Raw genomic sequence first — 13618 nt, 5'->3', positions numbered from 1 at the left:
TGGCCAAAGGATAAAATGCTATAGTGTAGATATAATGAACAAAACATTTTTATCTTTCAACGATGTCTGAGTTCTACTTCAAAATGTGTTAGATTTATCCACACCAGCTGTATTAGTCCATTCTTGCATTGCTATAAAGAACTACCTGAGGCTGGGTAATTTATAAAGAAAAGAATGTAATAGGCACACAGTTCCATAGGCTGTCCAGGAAGTATGGCTGGGAAGGCTTCAGGAAACTTAAAATCATGGCAGAAAGTGAAGGGGCATGCACTTTACAAATCCTGAGAAAATTGCTTCCATTTAGGAGGTAAACAAAAGATATCTCTCACCACTACCTGGATGTCATTACCCAGGTCTTTGTTTCCCTCTCTGACACTATTGTGGTAGTCCCAGAGTTGCTACAAACTTCTTATGGTTCTGGGGACTACCTGATTGTCACGCCATTCTTTGCTCAATTAGAAAGACTACCCAATGAACAAAATGGGTCTCCAAAATACACCTTCATTGTCTAGCTGACAATTGCTTAGGGCAGTAAGACAGGTAATTAAACAATTAATAGTCTAAAAGGGGGACATAAATGAAAATAAAACTATTGAGATTATAAAAATGCAGAGCAAAAATTTTTTTCTAAATCAGGACTAATGACTTACACAGATGTTGAAATGCTAACATCCAGGAAATTAGCTAAGCAGCATTCTAGCCGAGATCAGATCTGAAATAAGTTAAAATCCTTTAAATGTTCAAGCTGCCAGGTTTGGATCCTATGCAAAATCTACAAAGAATAAAAAATAAATAAAAATGAAGGGGAAAAAATGGCACTTCACCCTGTAATCTAGTGACTAGGATTTGGCAATATCATAGCCATGGCCTGGGTTCAATTTCTGGTCAGGGAACTTGTTCCTTCTAGTTCGATATTTGTGTAATGCTTGACATTGTGAGATACTGCTTTTGGAAAAGTATACACCAAAAACCCAGAAATGTCAGTGTTTGTCTCAACTAAACTGTGATAATAAGAGATTTGAAAGGATTTTGTTTTAAAGAACTCTATGATGAAAAGTCAGCTTAATTGAAAGCTGATACTCAAGATATAAGATACATTGTGTGTGTGTGTATATATATATATATCTTGAATAAATATATGTACAAGCTGGTATTCAAGCTATATCTATACATCTATATATCTATTTAGATGTATAGATATATCTTGATATATAAAAATATAAGATATATGTATATTGAATATATATATATATTTAAAGGTGTATCTTTTTTTTTTCCTTTGGATCCTGTTTTTGGATTTTTTTTCCAGTGGACTGAAATCCTTTTTTAATTATGTGCTTGAGCCCTCTGTTCACTTTCTTTCTCAAGAATTGTTCTCAGGGCCAGGTGCAGTGGCTCTCGCCTGTAATCCCAGCACTTCGGGAGGCCGAGGCGGGCAGATCACTTGAGGTCAGGAGTTCGAGACCAGCCTGGCCAACATGATGAAACTCTGTCTCTACTAAAAATACAAAAAATTAGCCGGGCATGGTGGCATATGCCTGTAATCCCAGCTACTCGGAGGCTGAGGCAGGAGAATCGCTTGAACCTGGGAGGCAGAGGTTACAGTGAGCTGAGATTGCACCATTGCACTCCAGCCTGGGCAACGGAGTGAGACTCTGTCTCAAAAAAAAAAAAAAAAAAAAAAAGAATTGTTCTCTAATTTCTCTAATTGTTCTTTTGCCGAGGAAGTGGCTCACGCCTGTAATCACAATACTTTGGAAGGCTGAGGCAGGAGGATTGCTTGAGCCGAGGAGTTCAAAACCAGCTTGGGCAACCTGGCAAATCCTCCTCTCTACAAAAACACATATAAGAAGTTTGCCAGACATGGTGGTGCATCATACCTATAGTCCCAGTCACTCAGGAGGCTGAGACGGTAGGATAACCTGAGCCTGAGAGTTCGAAGCTTCAGTGAGCTATTATTTCACCACTGTACTCCAGCTTGGGAGACACCCTGTCCAAAAAAAAAAAAAAGGAAATGTTGGTTCTCTCATTTACTTCTACTCCTCCCTACTCTTTCTTCCTCCTCGCCATATTCTGTACTATATTAAAGGTACTAGGATGGACATCTAATAATGCAGACTCCTTATGAAACACAGAAAATGCACCAATGACTCCTTTTTGAGATCTGTCAGTGGAGTCTAAAGAGTCCTGGACACATTTCTCTCAAGTCTAAAACTAAACTTTCTTTTGGATTGCTTTACTTTATCTTTTTGGCTTTTGAGGTTATCAGAGATTACTTTGTACTGAGAAATAGAAGTTGACCTTCCTGTGTATGAGGGCTGGTGAGTCACTGGTGAGAACTGCACTTTTGGAGGTGTCTGAGGGCCATTGTTTATAATAAATAGTTATTAGTACAGAGGGCTACTCATTTATTTGTACATTTAGATGAGAAATGTATGATTTAAACCCTTAGAGAAATGACCTTGTAGTAAAGTGTACTGCGAATGTATTGTGCAGCCCAGGCCCATGACTTTTCCCTGTTTTGGGGGACAAGGGATTTTGTGTAAAAGTAAAATCTTTGATTTTTAAAAATCTAAATATTCTGCCTTCCAACTGTGCCTGCTTTTCACATATTTAAACTACTAGACCCTAAAAACTGCAAATGGTTTGTTGGATCTGTTCTTTAATGAAGAGCAACCTTGAGCTCAGTGGTCAGCTTGCAAAACAGACACTGAATTAAAAGCTACCTATGCATGTTAGATTGGTCTCCTTATAAAGTCCTATGGTAAATTTCTATGATTTTGTGTTACCTTGACATCTATTTTTAATCCTCCTCCGATACACCCAAATGCCTTCCTGAAAAAATCCTAAATTCTCTGTCTCTCTCTCTCTTCTTGGAGATGTAAATTTGCTACCCTGTTTCTCTAAAACTCAGTAAAGTTTTCAGCCATGTTTTTTGTTTTTTGTTTTTTTTTTTCATTTACACAGGCACAGTTGAAATCCACCTATCCTTTTAAACTAATGAGTTTTACCCGACTTGCGGCTAAAATTTTGAAACTAAAACTATAAGCTCTTTACTTATATCTGTCTTTATTTTTGTGTATACATGTGCATGCATGTTTGCTTTTATATTTTCTAGGGCCCCAAACTGGCTTATAATAAAAAGACTACTAATAAATTAAATAACTAGCCAAATGATTTTCATGTTTATGTGACATTAGTTATCCTTGGCAAATAAAGGTCATTTTTAAATTGTTGGTAAAATAAATAGAAACAACTTCATAATTAAATTTAGACATTTTTGCCTGTGTCTATTGGTTAAGCAAGTTGATACTGTCTCTTATAGATGTTTTAAGGTGATACAACTGTAATATTTATATAATTTTTAAAATATTTGCTCAATTTATCTGTGAGCTTATAACATAGAATTTGAGCCTATAGATTCTGGAATCTGGATGGGTAAACATGGTAAGGCCTGGGGGAAAATGCTCAGCATCTCACCGGCTAAAAGCCAGAATCAAGCCTCATATGACCCATTTCTCCCTGGCCCATTTTGCCTCCTGGTCATGGTAGAAGGAGCCTGATCCTACAGACATCCTCATCACGATGCTATTCTCTGTCCTGGGCTCTAAACTTGGTGTATAAATTAGGACCCAGATGGGCCTTGCTCTTTATAGCCATCCTACGGTGCCCCATAGAAACTTGAGACGCCAGGCAACTGGAGAAGACGTTAGAGAGAGGACCTGTATAATAGTTTCAAAATTCTTTTTCAATAATTTAAAAAGTTAAGGTCATGTTACGTTAAATTAAGTGATATATAATTATAAAATGTCTGAGTCATTCCTAAGTATGTAAAAATACTGAAACTTTAATTGTTTAACATACATTTAAGTTTCTATACTTTGACAATATCTTTTTATATGGTATAAAAAAGGTAAATATATTGACATCTGTTAATAAGAAAATGTTTTTCTAAAAAGATTATGAAATAGTTCTTATTGACAAATCCTAGTTAAAAACAGTTCAAAATTACATAATTCCTTGTTTTTTCTCTGGAAATTAGGGTTACTATGAGTTAAATGTGTAATTAATATATGTGACTAAAACTACTGGATATAAGAAAAACACACTTATGGGCCAGGAGCAGTGACTAACGCCTGTAATCCCAGCACTTTGGGAGGCCAAGATCAGGAGTTCGAGACCAGCCTGGCCAACATGATGAAACCTTGTCTCTACTAAAAATACAAAATTAGCCAGGCACGGTGATGCACTCTTGTAATATCATCTACTCAGGAGACTGAGGCAGGAAAATCACTTGAACCCAGGAGGCAGAAGTGGCAGTGAGCTGAGATCTCACCACTACACTCCAGCCTGGGCAACAAAGTTAGGCTCCGCCTCAAGAAAAAAACAAAAATAAAAACAAAGCAAACACATTTATATACAGAATGTATAAAGTAAGATGTAAATAAATTTGAAAATAGAGAATAATTTTTCTTTTACGTGGGAGAATTTTGTGTGGTTAAGATGATAAAGGGGAAAGTAAAGTAAATTTTTGTCCTAAGGTAAATGGTAGTATAAAACTGATGGTTTAAGCAAGTTGTGGGTTTGTGGAAGATTGATCTTGTGAAAGGAGATTTCTGTATGATAAAGTTGGCCAAAATGTAAAGGGGTTTATTTAATTTTTAAAAAATTAAATGTTAATTTCAAAAGCACATTGGTGCAGGGGCAAAGTCTGGGCCCTTGTGTTAGGTAACAGGGTTTTCTTGGAGCATTGGTCTTCTCTGTAATAGAAAATTTTAAGAGGTTATAAAAGGTTTATGGAAATCTTATCTTGTGTGGTCAAAGCAGGTTGTGATTAGATGGATTTGTTTTTAAGGTTTTATTAATATTAAAGTTAGCATTAGCATTAAGAATGTACTGATACAAAGTGAAAGTTAGGGTTTTTCTTTTAAACAAAGTTTTCATATAATATTACTCAGGATAGTAAAAGACTTTTGTTCACTTTTTGCATAAACTGGAGAGAGAGAGAGAGACAGACAGAGAGAGAGAGATTCCCTTGGTCTCATTCTGTCTTTGTTAAGCATTTTCATTCTTTGAGAAGCTGAGTCTCTTCTTTATCAAAGAGTAAATGTTCTTAGTTTTTAAAATATTTGAGTTATGACTTGTGCTAAGTGAATCAGTATCATTTTACAGTGACCTGTGATCCAATTTTGAACTAGTGTTTTAAACCTTTACTGTATTACGAACTTTCCAAAATCAAACTACAAATTCAAAAATTCAGTCTTTTTACAGAAGTATCTCCTGGAAGAACAAGAGAGGTGTATTAGACTTATTTGGTATGTTAAAATTATACAGGAAGAATTGTCAAATAAGAAATGGTGTTTAACTTTATTTAGGATATATTTGTGTTATTAGTATGTGTTAATTAGATTAAATGTGTTACTGATATGTGTTGATGAGATTAAATTTCTTAATGAGATTCATAAAATTCTGGTATGTTTTAGTATATGTTATCAGCAATAATTATTATGTTAAATTATTATGTTAATAATTATTATGTTAAACGGTTATATGTCACAGGAATAATTTTTTTAATTGTGTCTTTCCTTACAGCTGTTCTAAGGCTTTTATCATCCACAGTTATTATTTTACTTTTATTTTCCTCAAAAAGGGTTTATAATCAGCCACAAGTCCAAAATTTGTTTCTTCTTCAAGGAAATTAATGGACAGGATTCTGATAAGTACTCCTGAATACAGGTTCCTGATAACTTGGGAAACCATACCACTGGACTAGGTAAAAGCTTCCAGGACTTTAATTAAAAAGCAGATGTGTTCATGAGAATTGCTAACCCAGCATCAAACAGAACAATAATTAATTATATGAAACTAACAAAGGACTGAAATAATTTTTATGTCTTTTTTGTTTGAAACATTGAAGATTCCTTTTGTTTTGTTTTTCAAAATCAAGAAAACTTTTTCTTCTTTTTAGCCATTGATAGCTTATAGCAACTGTGCAATGTATACAGAATGTACACACCTTGATATTTACATTTTGATCATCAATGCTTAAAATGGGAAAAATGAGAAAAGAAAATTACTTTTATCTAAGGAATGCAAGTCTTTTTAACTATCAAGCCCAAAGAGACATTAAAATGAGATTGCAATCACACCTTACTCTCTGCTTTGAGCTATTTATCCATATCCTGAAACTACTTACTATTGCCACGAGTAGTTGCAAATTAACCTAATATTGCCACATCAGACATTATAATCCACACCCTACAGCTTACTAATGTGTAAGTGTATAGCCAATCATGAATCAATGTTATTTTCTTAGGCCAATGAGAATTCTTGACAATTTGTATCAGTCCACTCTCCGCCCCCTCCCCCAGTTTTGTCTTTAAATATTCACTTGTAACTGCTCTTAATTGGAGTGTATATTCAGGAAAACATGAATCTATGCTCCCAGATTGCAATCTCAAGCTTGTCCCAAATAAACTCTTTCCTTGTATTAATTTGGTCCAGCTTTTTGCTTTTAGGTTGACAGCAGAATACCAAATAAAGTACTTGAATGGAATTTGGCAGTTTAGTTTTATAAAAAACAAAATATCTTTATACAATATAACTCATTCCTATGGGTCAGATAGCAGTGAAAGCTGAGGGAAAAGACAGTCATGCCTCCTGTCTCAAGAGATCTCACAGTTATTGGTTCATTTTGTGGAATATAAGTGATATATCTTATTGCCCCAATATATTCAAACTATTTTAAATTCAATATGTAATTAATATCTAAACAAGTATTAAGATATTTAAATTCATTTTTATACAAAATATTCCAACTCCTGTAAGTGTTTTACACTTACAGCTCATTCACTGGGGATTAGGCACATTTCAAGTGCTCAGTAGCCATGCATAGATAATTGGTGCTATAACAAACAGCACAGGCCTAGTTTAGTAGAAGACAGCTGCATCCAATGCGTTGTGGATCTCACAAGTCATATGGCCTTGTGAACTCTCCTCTACACTCTTGAGAAAAATGAGAAGGAAAAAGGCAAATAATAATTTATAATTATTATTTAAAAAATTCAATCTCATAGACTCCCTGAATTGACTCAGAGAAGCCTATGGGGCCCTGGACCACTCTTGTAGAAACAAAATTGTACTGAAAAGGTGAATTCATACCTAGTGAGTCTTCCTTTCCAACTTTCTTGCTCTTACTCAATAGTGACAGAAATATACTGAGCTCTCATCTACCTATCTCGACCTCTGGAGACTCACAGAAGAGGTTAGGATTGGGAGTGAGAGATTGTGCAGCTCTGTACTGGACATGTCAAGCTTCCATGTAAACGTGGAATTTCAGAAAATCTTTGTATCACGCTGCTGCCTCCTTTAGGTTTACCTTGGATATGGTCATGTCCTCTTAACTACAATCCTTCAGAACTTGCCTGCATTTTGTGTTTATCATTAGTCATTCTTAAGGCAGACTCATCCCCAACCCATTTCTATTCATTTGCCTGACATCTGGGTGAAGAAGACAATGGGTTGTTTTCTGAAGAGTAAACATTGTACCCTTCAATTTAGTGTTCAAAGTTTGCTGTTTTAATCTTTCTCTCGTCTTCCACCAACCCCAGTCCAGGTAAATATTAAGGAATTTTTGAGAGAAGAGGTATTTGGTGCTTTCTATACAGTGTTCTCTTTACAAGCTTGCAAATTTTGGATAAACTTTAGGTTTAGAGGTACTTCAGCCTCTGACTTTTAAATTCTTCTAAGTCAAAAGCATTTTTGTCTTACTGCTTCTAACTAAACATGCATTTGGTCCTAAATTTTCTGATGTCCCTGTTGCCCTTTCTCTTTTTGTATCTATTGTACCAGGCCTGAACTCAGACCATTGAACATAGAAATGCCCTATTTAAGAAAAGTTTAGGCTGGGCACTGTGGCTCACGCCTGTAATCCCAGCACTTTGGGAGGCTGAGGCGGGCAGATCACGAGGTCAGGATATGGAGACCATCCTGAATAACAGGGTGAAAGCCCGTCTCTACTAAAAATACAAAAAATTAGCCGGGCGTGGTGGCGGGCGCCTGTGGTCTTAGCTACTCGGGAGGCTGAGGCAGGAGAATGGTGTGAACCCAGGAGGCAGAGCTTGCAGTGAGCCGAGATCGCATCACTGCACTCCAGCCTGGGCGACAGAGCGAGACTCTGCCTCAAAAAAAAATTTAAACAGAAAAAATGAAATGGATGATAGAAAGAAGTTTTTGACAAAATTCACACTAACCACAACAAAAGCCTAAATTAATATCTCAAGATTTCATTCCTCCATTGAAGTAAATTTATTTGCAAGTGGTTTCTATCATTTGCTCTCAAGAAATTTAAGGATCAAACAAGTGTCAGAAGAAACAGCTATCAATAAAAATAAAGAAGTGCCATTTTAAAGAAGATGTATTTGTATAGATGCCAAATACCATTTTGGAAAGGAAAATAAAAATATAAAATAAGAGTTTTAATTCTCCCTGTTAAAAGTAAGGAAAGAGATGTCTGCTCTCCCTTTTTCTTAGATTGTTTACTTTAGAAAACTTGCAATTTTAAGTACTTTCTCTACTTTTTGAAATGTATATAAATCCTTTTGTAAACTGGATAAATCTTTTTCCAGTTTTCTCAAACATCTATGAAGCTTTTCTTTGAAATGTAAGCATAAAGGGAGATAACACTCCATCTTCAGTTTCTATGTTAATGGAGAAATAACTTTTTAGATGGGAGCCTGGCTCTAAGCTGCAAAACTATGTCCTGTTATAAAGATATGAGAAGTTTGTTTCTTCCTATATTAACGCAGGTAATTACCATGAATCGTTACCCCAATAACCAGACAAACCTAGAATGAACTGTGTGTGACCCACGGTGCTGTTATGTCCTCTAATTTGAGGACTAGCCATTGTGGAATTTGAAAACATATATGTAATGTATTGTACCAGCTAGGCTATATAACAAAGTGAGATTTCTTTCTGTCTTTACAATCTCTTAGTGGGTACCTGTGATGCACATTGCATTCTGGTTTAAGGCTTATTCAATAATGAAAGTGTTTTCTTTTTCTACTATCTTTTTGGAGAAGATTTCTGGGTCGGAACAGATTTTGTTTTAAATTATGTTTCCCCATCACTTTGCCTTAAAAAAATACTGAGATATGGAGAAATGAAAGCTACACAAAGGCCAACACTGTTATAAATTATAGGTTAATAAAAATACAATATTCAGTACTATGTGTGGATACACATGGCCTGGCCTGCAGGCAGTACTGATAGGAATTTGAAGTAAGGCCAATCGCCCTGCTGTGTTGTGCTCAATTCACAGAGGTGGCTACAATGATGGTCTGTATAAAGGGAGAAAATGGTCTCAGCTCTGGATGAAGGCATAGAGAGAGAGTGAGAATACTAGGACCATTATATCATAATGTGATAATTATAAAACTGAACTGATTCCCAGAAAAATGGAAAAATGGAACTCTCAAGTGAAGTCTAGCCACATAGCTTCCCCAGTTGAAGCCAGCACCACGTATTTTGTTCCTAATAGAAGAGACTTAGCACATCTTTGTGAGAGGAAGCAATCGTAACATTTGAGAATTTGTGGCAAGGTAGGTAGTAGATCCCACTTAAACTGAAAACAAGAACCATGGAGGTCTAACAGCATATCTAACTTCCAACCTGTTTTCTTATTTTTAAAATTATTTATTAATTAATTTTTTTTTTTTTTTTTTTTGAGACAGAGGTTCACTCTTGTTGCCCAGGCTGGAGTGCAGTGGCATGATCTCGGCTCACTGCAACCTCCACCTCCCAGGTTCAAGCGATTCTTCGCACCTCAGCCTACGGAGGAGCTGGCTCTACTAATATTATGAGTAATCGTCCTGAACAATCCTCCTCTCACGGACCGCATGTTTTTGTCCCCCCAAATTCATATGTTGAGTCCCTTACCCCAAAGGTGATGGTATTGGCGCTTGGGGAGGTAATTTGGTCATAAGGGTGGAGCCCTCATGATGGAATTACAGCCTTTATGAGAGGCTTGAGAAGGCTTCCTTCCTCTCTCTCTGCTCTCCACCATGGGAGGACGCAGTGAGAAGGTGAAAATACTACCATCTGCAAGCCCGTAAGAGGGTCCTTACTTGAACCTGATTATTCCGGCATGCTGATCTTAGACTTTCACCCTCCAGATCTGTGAAAAATACATTTTTTTTATTTTTAAGTCACTCGGTCTATAGTAATTTGTGATAGCAGCCCAAACTAAGACACCTTTCAGTTGAAACAATTAAATTGCCATATTGCCATAGACATAGCTACACACACACACACACACACACACACACACACACACACACACACACTACTTTAATAGCCTAAAATAAATCAAGAATAAATCATAAATATAAATAATTTGAGGATCACGTTTAAACTGAAAATAAGAACCATGGAGGTCTCACAGCATAGCTTACTTCCAACCTGTTTTCTTATTTTTAAAATTATTAATTAATTAATTAATTTTTTTTTTGAGAGAGAGTTTCACTCTTGTTGCCCAGGCTGGAGTGCAGTGGCAGGATCTCGGCTCACTGCAACCTCCACCTCCCAGGTTCAAGCGATTCTTCGCACCTCAGCCTACTGAGGAGCTGGGATTACAGGGGCATGCCACCACACCTGGCTAAGTTTTTTATTTTTAGTAGAGAAGGGGTTTCACCATTTTGGCCAGGCTGGTCTCGAACTCCTAACCTCAAGTGATCCTCCCACCTTGGCCTCCCAAAGTGCTGGGATTACAGGCTTGAGCCACCACACCCAGCCCCAGCCTGTTTTCTAACTGAACCCTAGAGACTGGAAACTACCATCCAATGATAGCACAGGCTTGTAGGATAGGAGATAAACTCAGTAGTAAAGGAGATGAGGAATTTAGTAAGAAGTCTTTGCATAAAGGTGACGGCATGAAGGACTACATCCTATATATAGAGGTGAATAAAAAATCTTTGCTATGTAAAAGGGTATGGTAAAATTTGTTTGTTTTGAAATTGTTAAAACAAGATGGGGGAAAAAATCTGCCCAGCTAATTTGGAATAAGTGGGCCCTTATGTGGGTCGGCAGTCCTAATTCACACTGTCTCTAATAACTTGTTTTAGCTACCGAAATGTTAGCTGATGTGATATAAACAGAAGCTTTAAAGATGTATGCAAAGTTTGAATTTAGCACTTGTGCACAAGAGAAAAGCATATCTATAACCAAAATAAATATAGTTTGCTTTTTATATTCAGATAAATATTTTTTCCTGGTAAAGGGAAGATATGTTTCTGAAAGACTCTAAAGCAAAACCAATCAACTAGCAAAAAACTAGAGCCAGTGTGCTTATATTTATGGTAGTCAAAATATACCTTAATGTCATACATTAATAAGAAAAGCATGAGAGATAATTTGGATCATATCAAAATAATCTAAACATGTGAAGGGACTCCTAAACATATACCTAAAAACAAACCTCAAAATAACAATAATAGATTTTGACAGAAGTAGATTGAGAATTTTGTGAACCTACTGTTAATATTTTATATAAAATTTTAATATAATTTTTAAATTTGAGAAATCATGCAGATAAAACATATTAAAGATAAGTGTATTAATAGCACAATGAACAAACATTATTTAATGGAACCTGCATTAGCCTTTTCTCAGGCTGCTGATAATGACATACCTGTAACTGGGTAATTTATAAAGAAAAAGAGGTTTAATGGACTCACAACTCCATATGGCTGGGAAGTCCTCATAATTATGGCAGAAGATGATAGGCACGTCTTACATGATGGCAGACAAGAGACAATGAGAGCCAAGCAAAAGTGGAAACCCCTTATAAAATCATCAAATCTGGTGAGACTTATCCACTACCAGGAGAACAGTATGGGGGAAACCACCCCCATCATTCAATTCTCTCCCACTGGGCCCCTCCCACAACATCTGAGAATTATAGGAGCTATAATTCAAGGTGAGATTTGGATGGGAACACAGCCAAACCATATCAGAACCATATAAAACATTGCATTAAACAACCGGTAGATCACATTTTTTTTTGAAAACACATGAATTACTTATGAAAACTAACTTTGTGTCTCACCAAAATGCATCCTCAAAAAATCCACAGTACTCTTCTGGGCATGGTGTGTTGTCTCACGTCCGTAATCCCAGCACTTTGGGAGGCCGAGACAGATGGATCACTTGAGGTTAGGAGTTTGTGACCAGCCTGGCCAGCATGGTGAAATCCTGTCTCTACTAAAAATACAAATAAAAGCTGGGTGTGATGATTAGTGCCTGCATTCCCAGGTACTCAGGAGGCTGAGGCAAAAGAATCGCTTGAACCCAGGAGTCAGAGGTTGCAGTGAAGGAATCTCTTGAACCAGGAAGCAGAGGTTGCTGTGAGCCCAGATCACCACTGCACTCCAGCCTGCGCAACTGAGCTAGACTGTCTGAAAAAAAGACAAAGTTAACGGTACTTGTGCCATTCAATTCTCCCACTTCAATATAACTGATTTAGAAATCAGTAATAAAATATACTGGAAAGCACACTTATTTGATAACAAAAATACACTCCCAAATAAATGACAGGTCACAGAAGAAGTTATAATTTGTATTAGAAAATATTTAAACTGAATAATAATCAAAAGCCTACCTAGCTTTGGGGAGATTATATTAACTGGCTAATAGAAGAAATTTAGCATTTTATGTATGCTTAGAAAAATATACAGTGAAAATTCAATGAGGTAAATCTTTGACAAATGAGATTAGATAAAGAGCAGTAGAACATATTTAAGAAATTAGAAAGAATAAAATTACAGAGATAAAGGTGAAAATTAATAAAAAACAAAAAATGAAAACAAAATCAAAAACAAAACCTTCACTATAAAAATCCACCAAAAATTTTTTATTTGACAGATCTAACAAATAAAATACAATGATATTAAGAGAAACCAAGAAAAGAAAAAAAAGCAAAAATAGACAATAACAAGAATGGAGAATGTCTTACAATTTCAGATGTTAAAAAAATAAAAATTTATATAATTTTATGTCAATGTACTTAAGAAAATTTAATTAAAATATTCTCAAAAAGAGAAACAGAGGTAATGATTTCCAGCTAACCAATCTAACACACTTAGATATACAAATTAAATAAGGCTCCCCAAAAAAGAAAAGTAATGAAAACTACCCTTCTATCTTATTCAGAGCTGGACTTAGATGGGAAATTTGATTTTTAAAACAAAGAAAACATATTTAGATGAATATGAGATCTAAGACCAAATAAGCTGTAACTAATTTAGAACGTAGCATAATAGAACAGAAGCCATATTTTGAGAATGGGTGTCAGGCATTTTTTAGAACAAAAGGTATCTAATAGCAATAGCTATTAAAATAGCAGAAATACTGATTATGGGAAACCCTCTGAAAGTATATAAACAAGGGTTCTCAACCTGGCTACAATGGTTGAGTCATCCTTCTGGAAGGTTTTATGGTGTCATAGCAGAATTCTAAAACACATGTATGAATAACTTTAGAAAAGTTAAGCACTCCCTCCTACTGAGAGTCACCACAACGTGTGCATTCATTCATTCATTCATTCATCCATTCATTCATT

At 35.9% G+C, this 13618-nt stretch overlaps 1 annotated feature.

The window, feature by feature from the left end:
- Positions 2226-2426: a silencer, noted in NCBI's record as "peak5216 fragment used in MPRA reporter construct". NCBI's record gives its function as "represses an SCP1 promoter by STARR-seq MPRAs in K562 erythroleukemia cells {active_cell/tissue: K562}" and the evidence as "EXISTENCE:reporter gene assay evidence [ECO:0000049][PMID:32103011]".

The sequence above is a fragment of the Homo sapiens genome, chromosome 5 (genome assembly GCF_000001405.40).
Source record: "Homo sapiens chromosome 5, GRCh38.p14 Primary Assembly".
NCBI lineage: Eukaryota > Metazoa > Chordata > Mammalia > Primates > Hominidae > Homo > Homo sapiens.
Note: the sequence above shows the minus strand (reverse complement) of the source record. Positions and strands in the feature narration are given on the sequence as shown.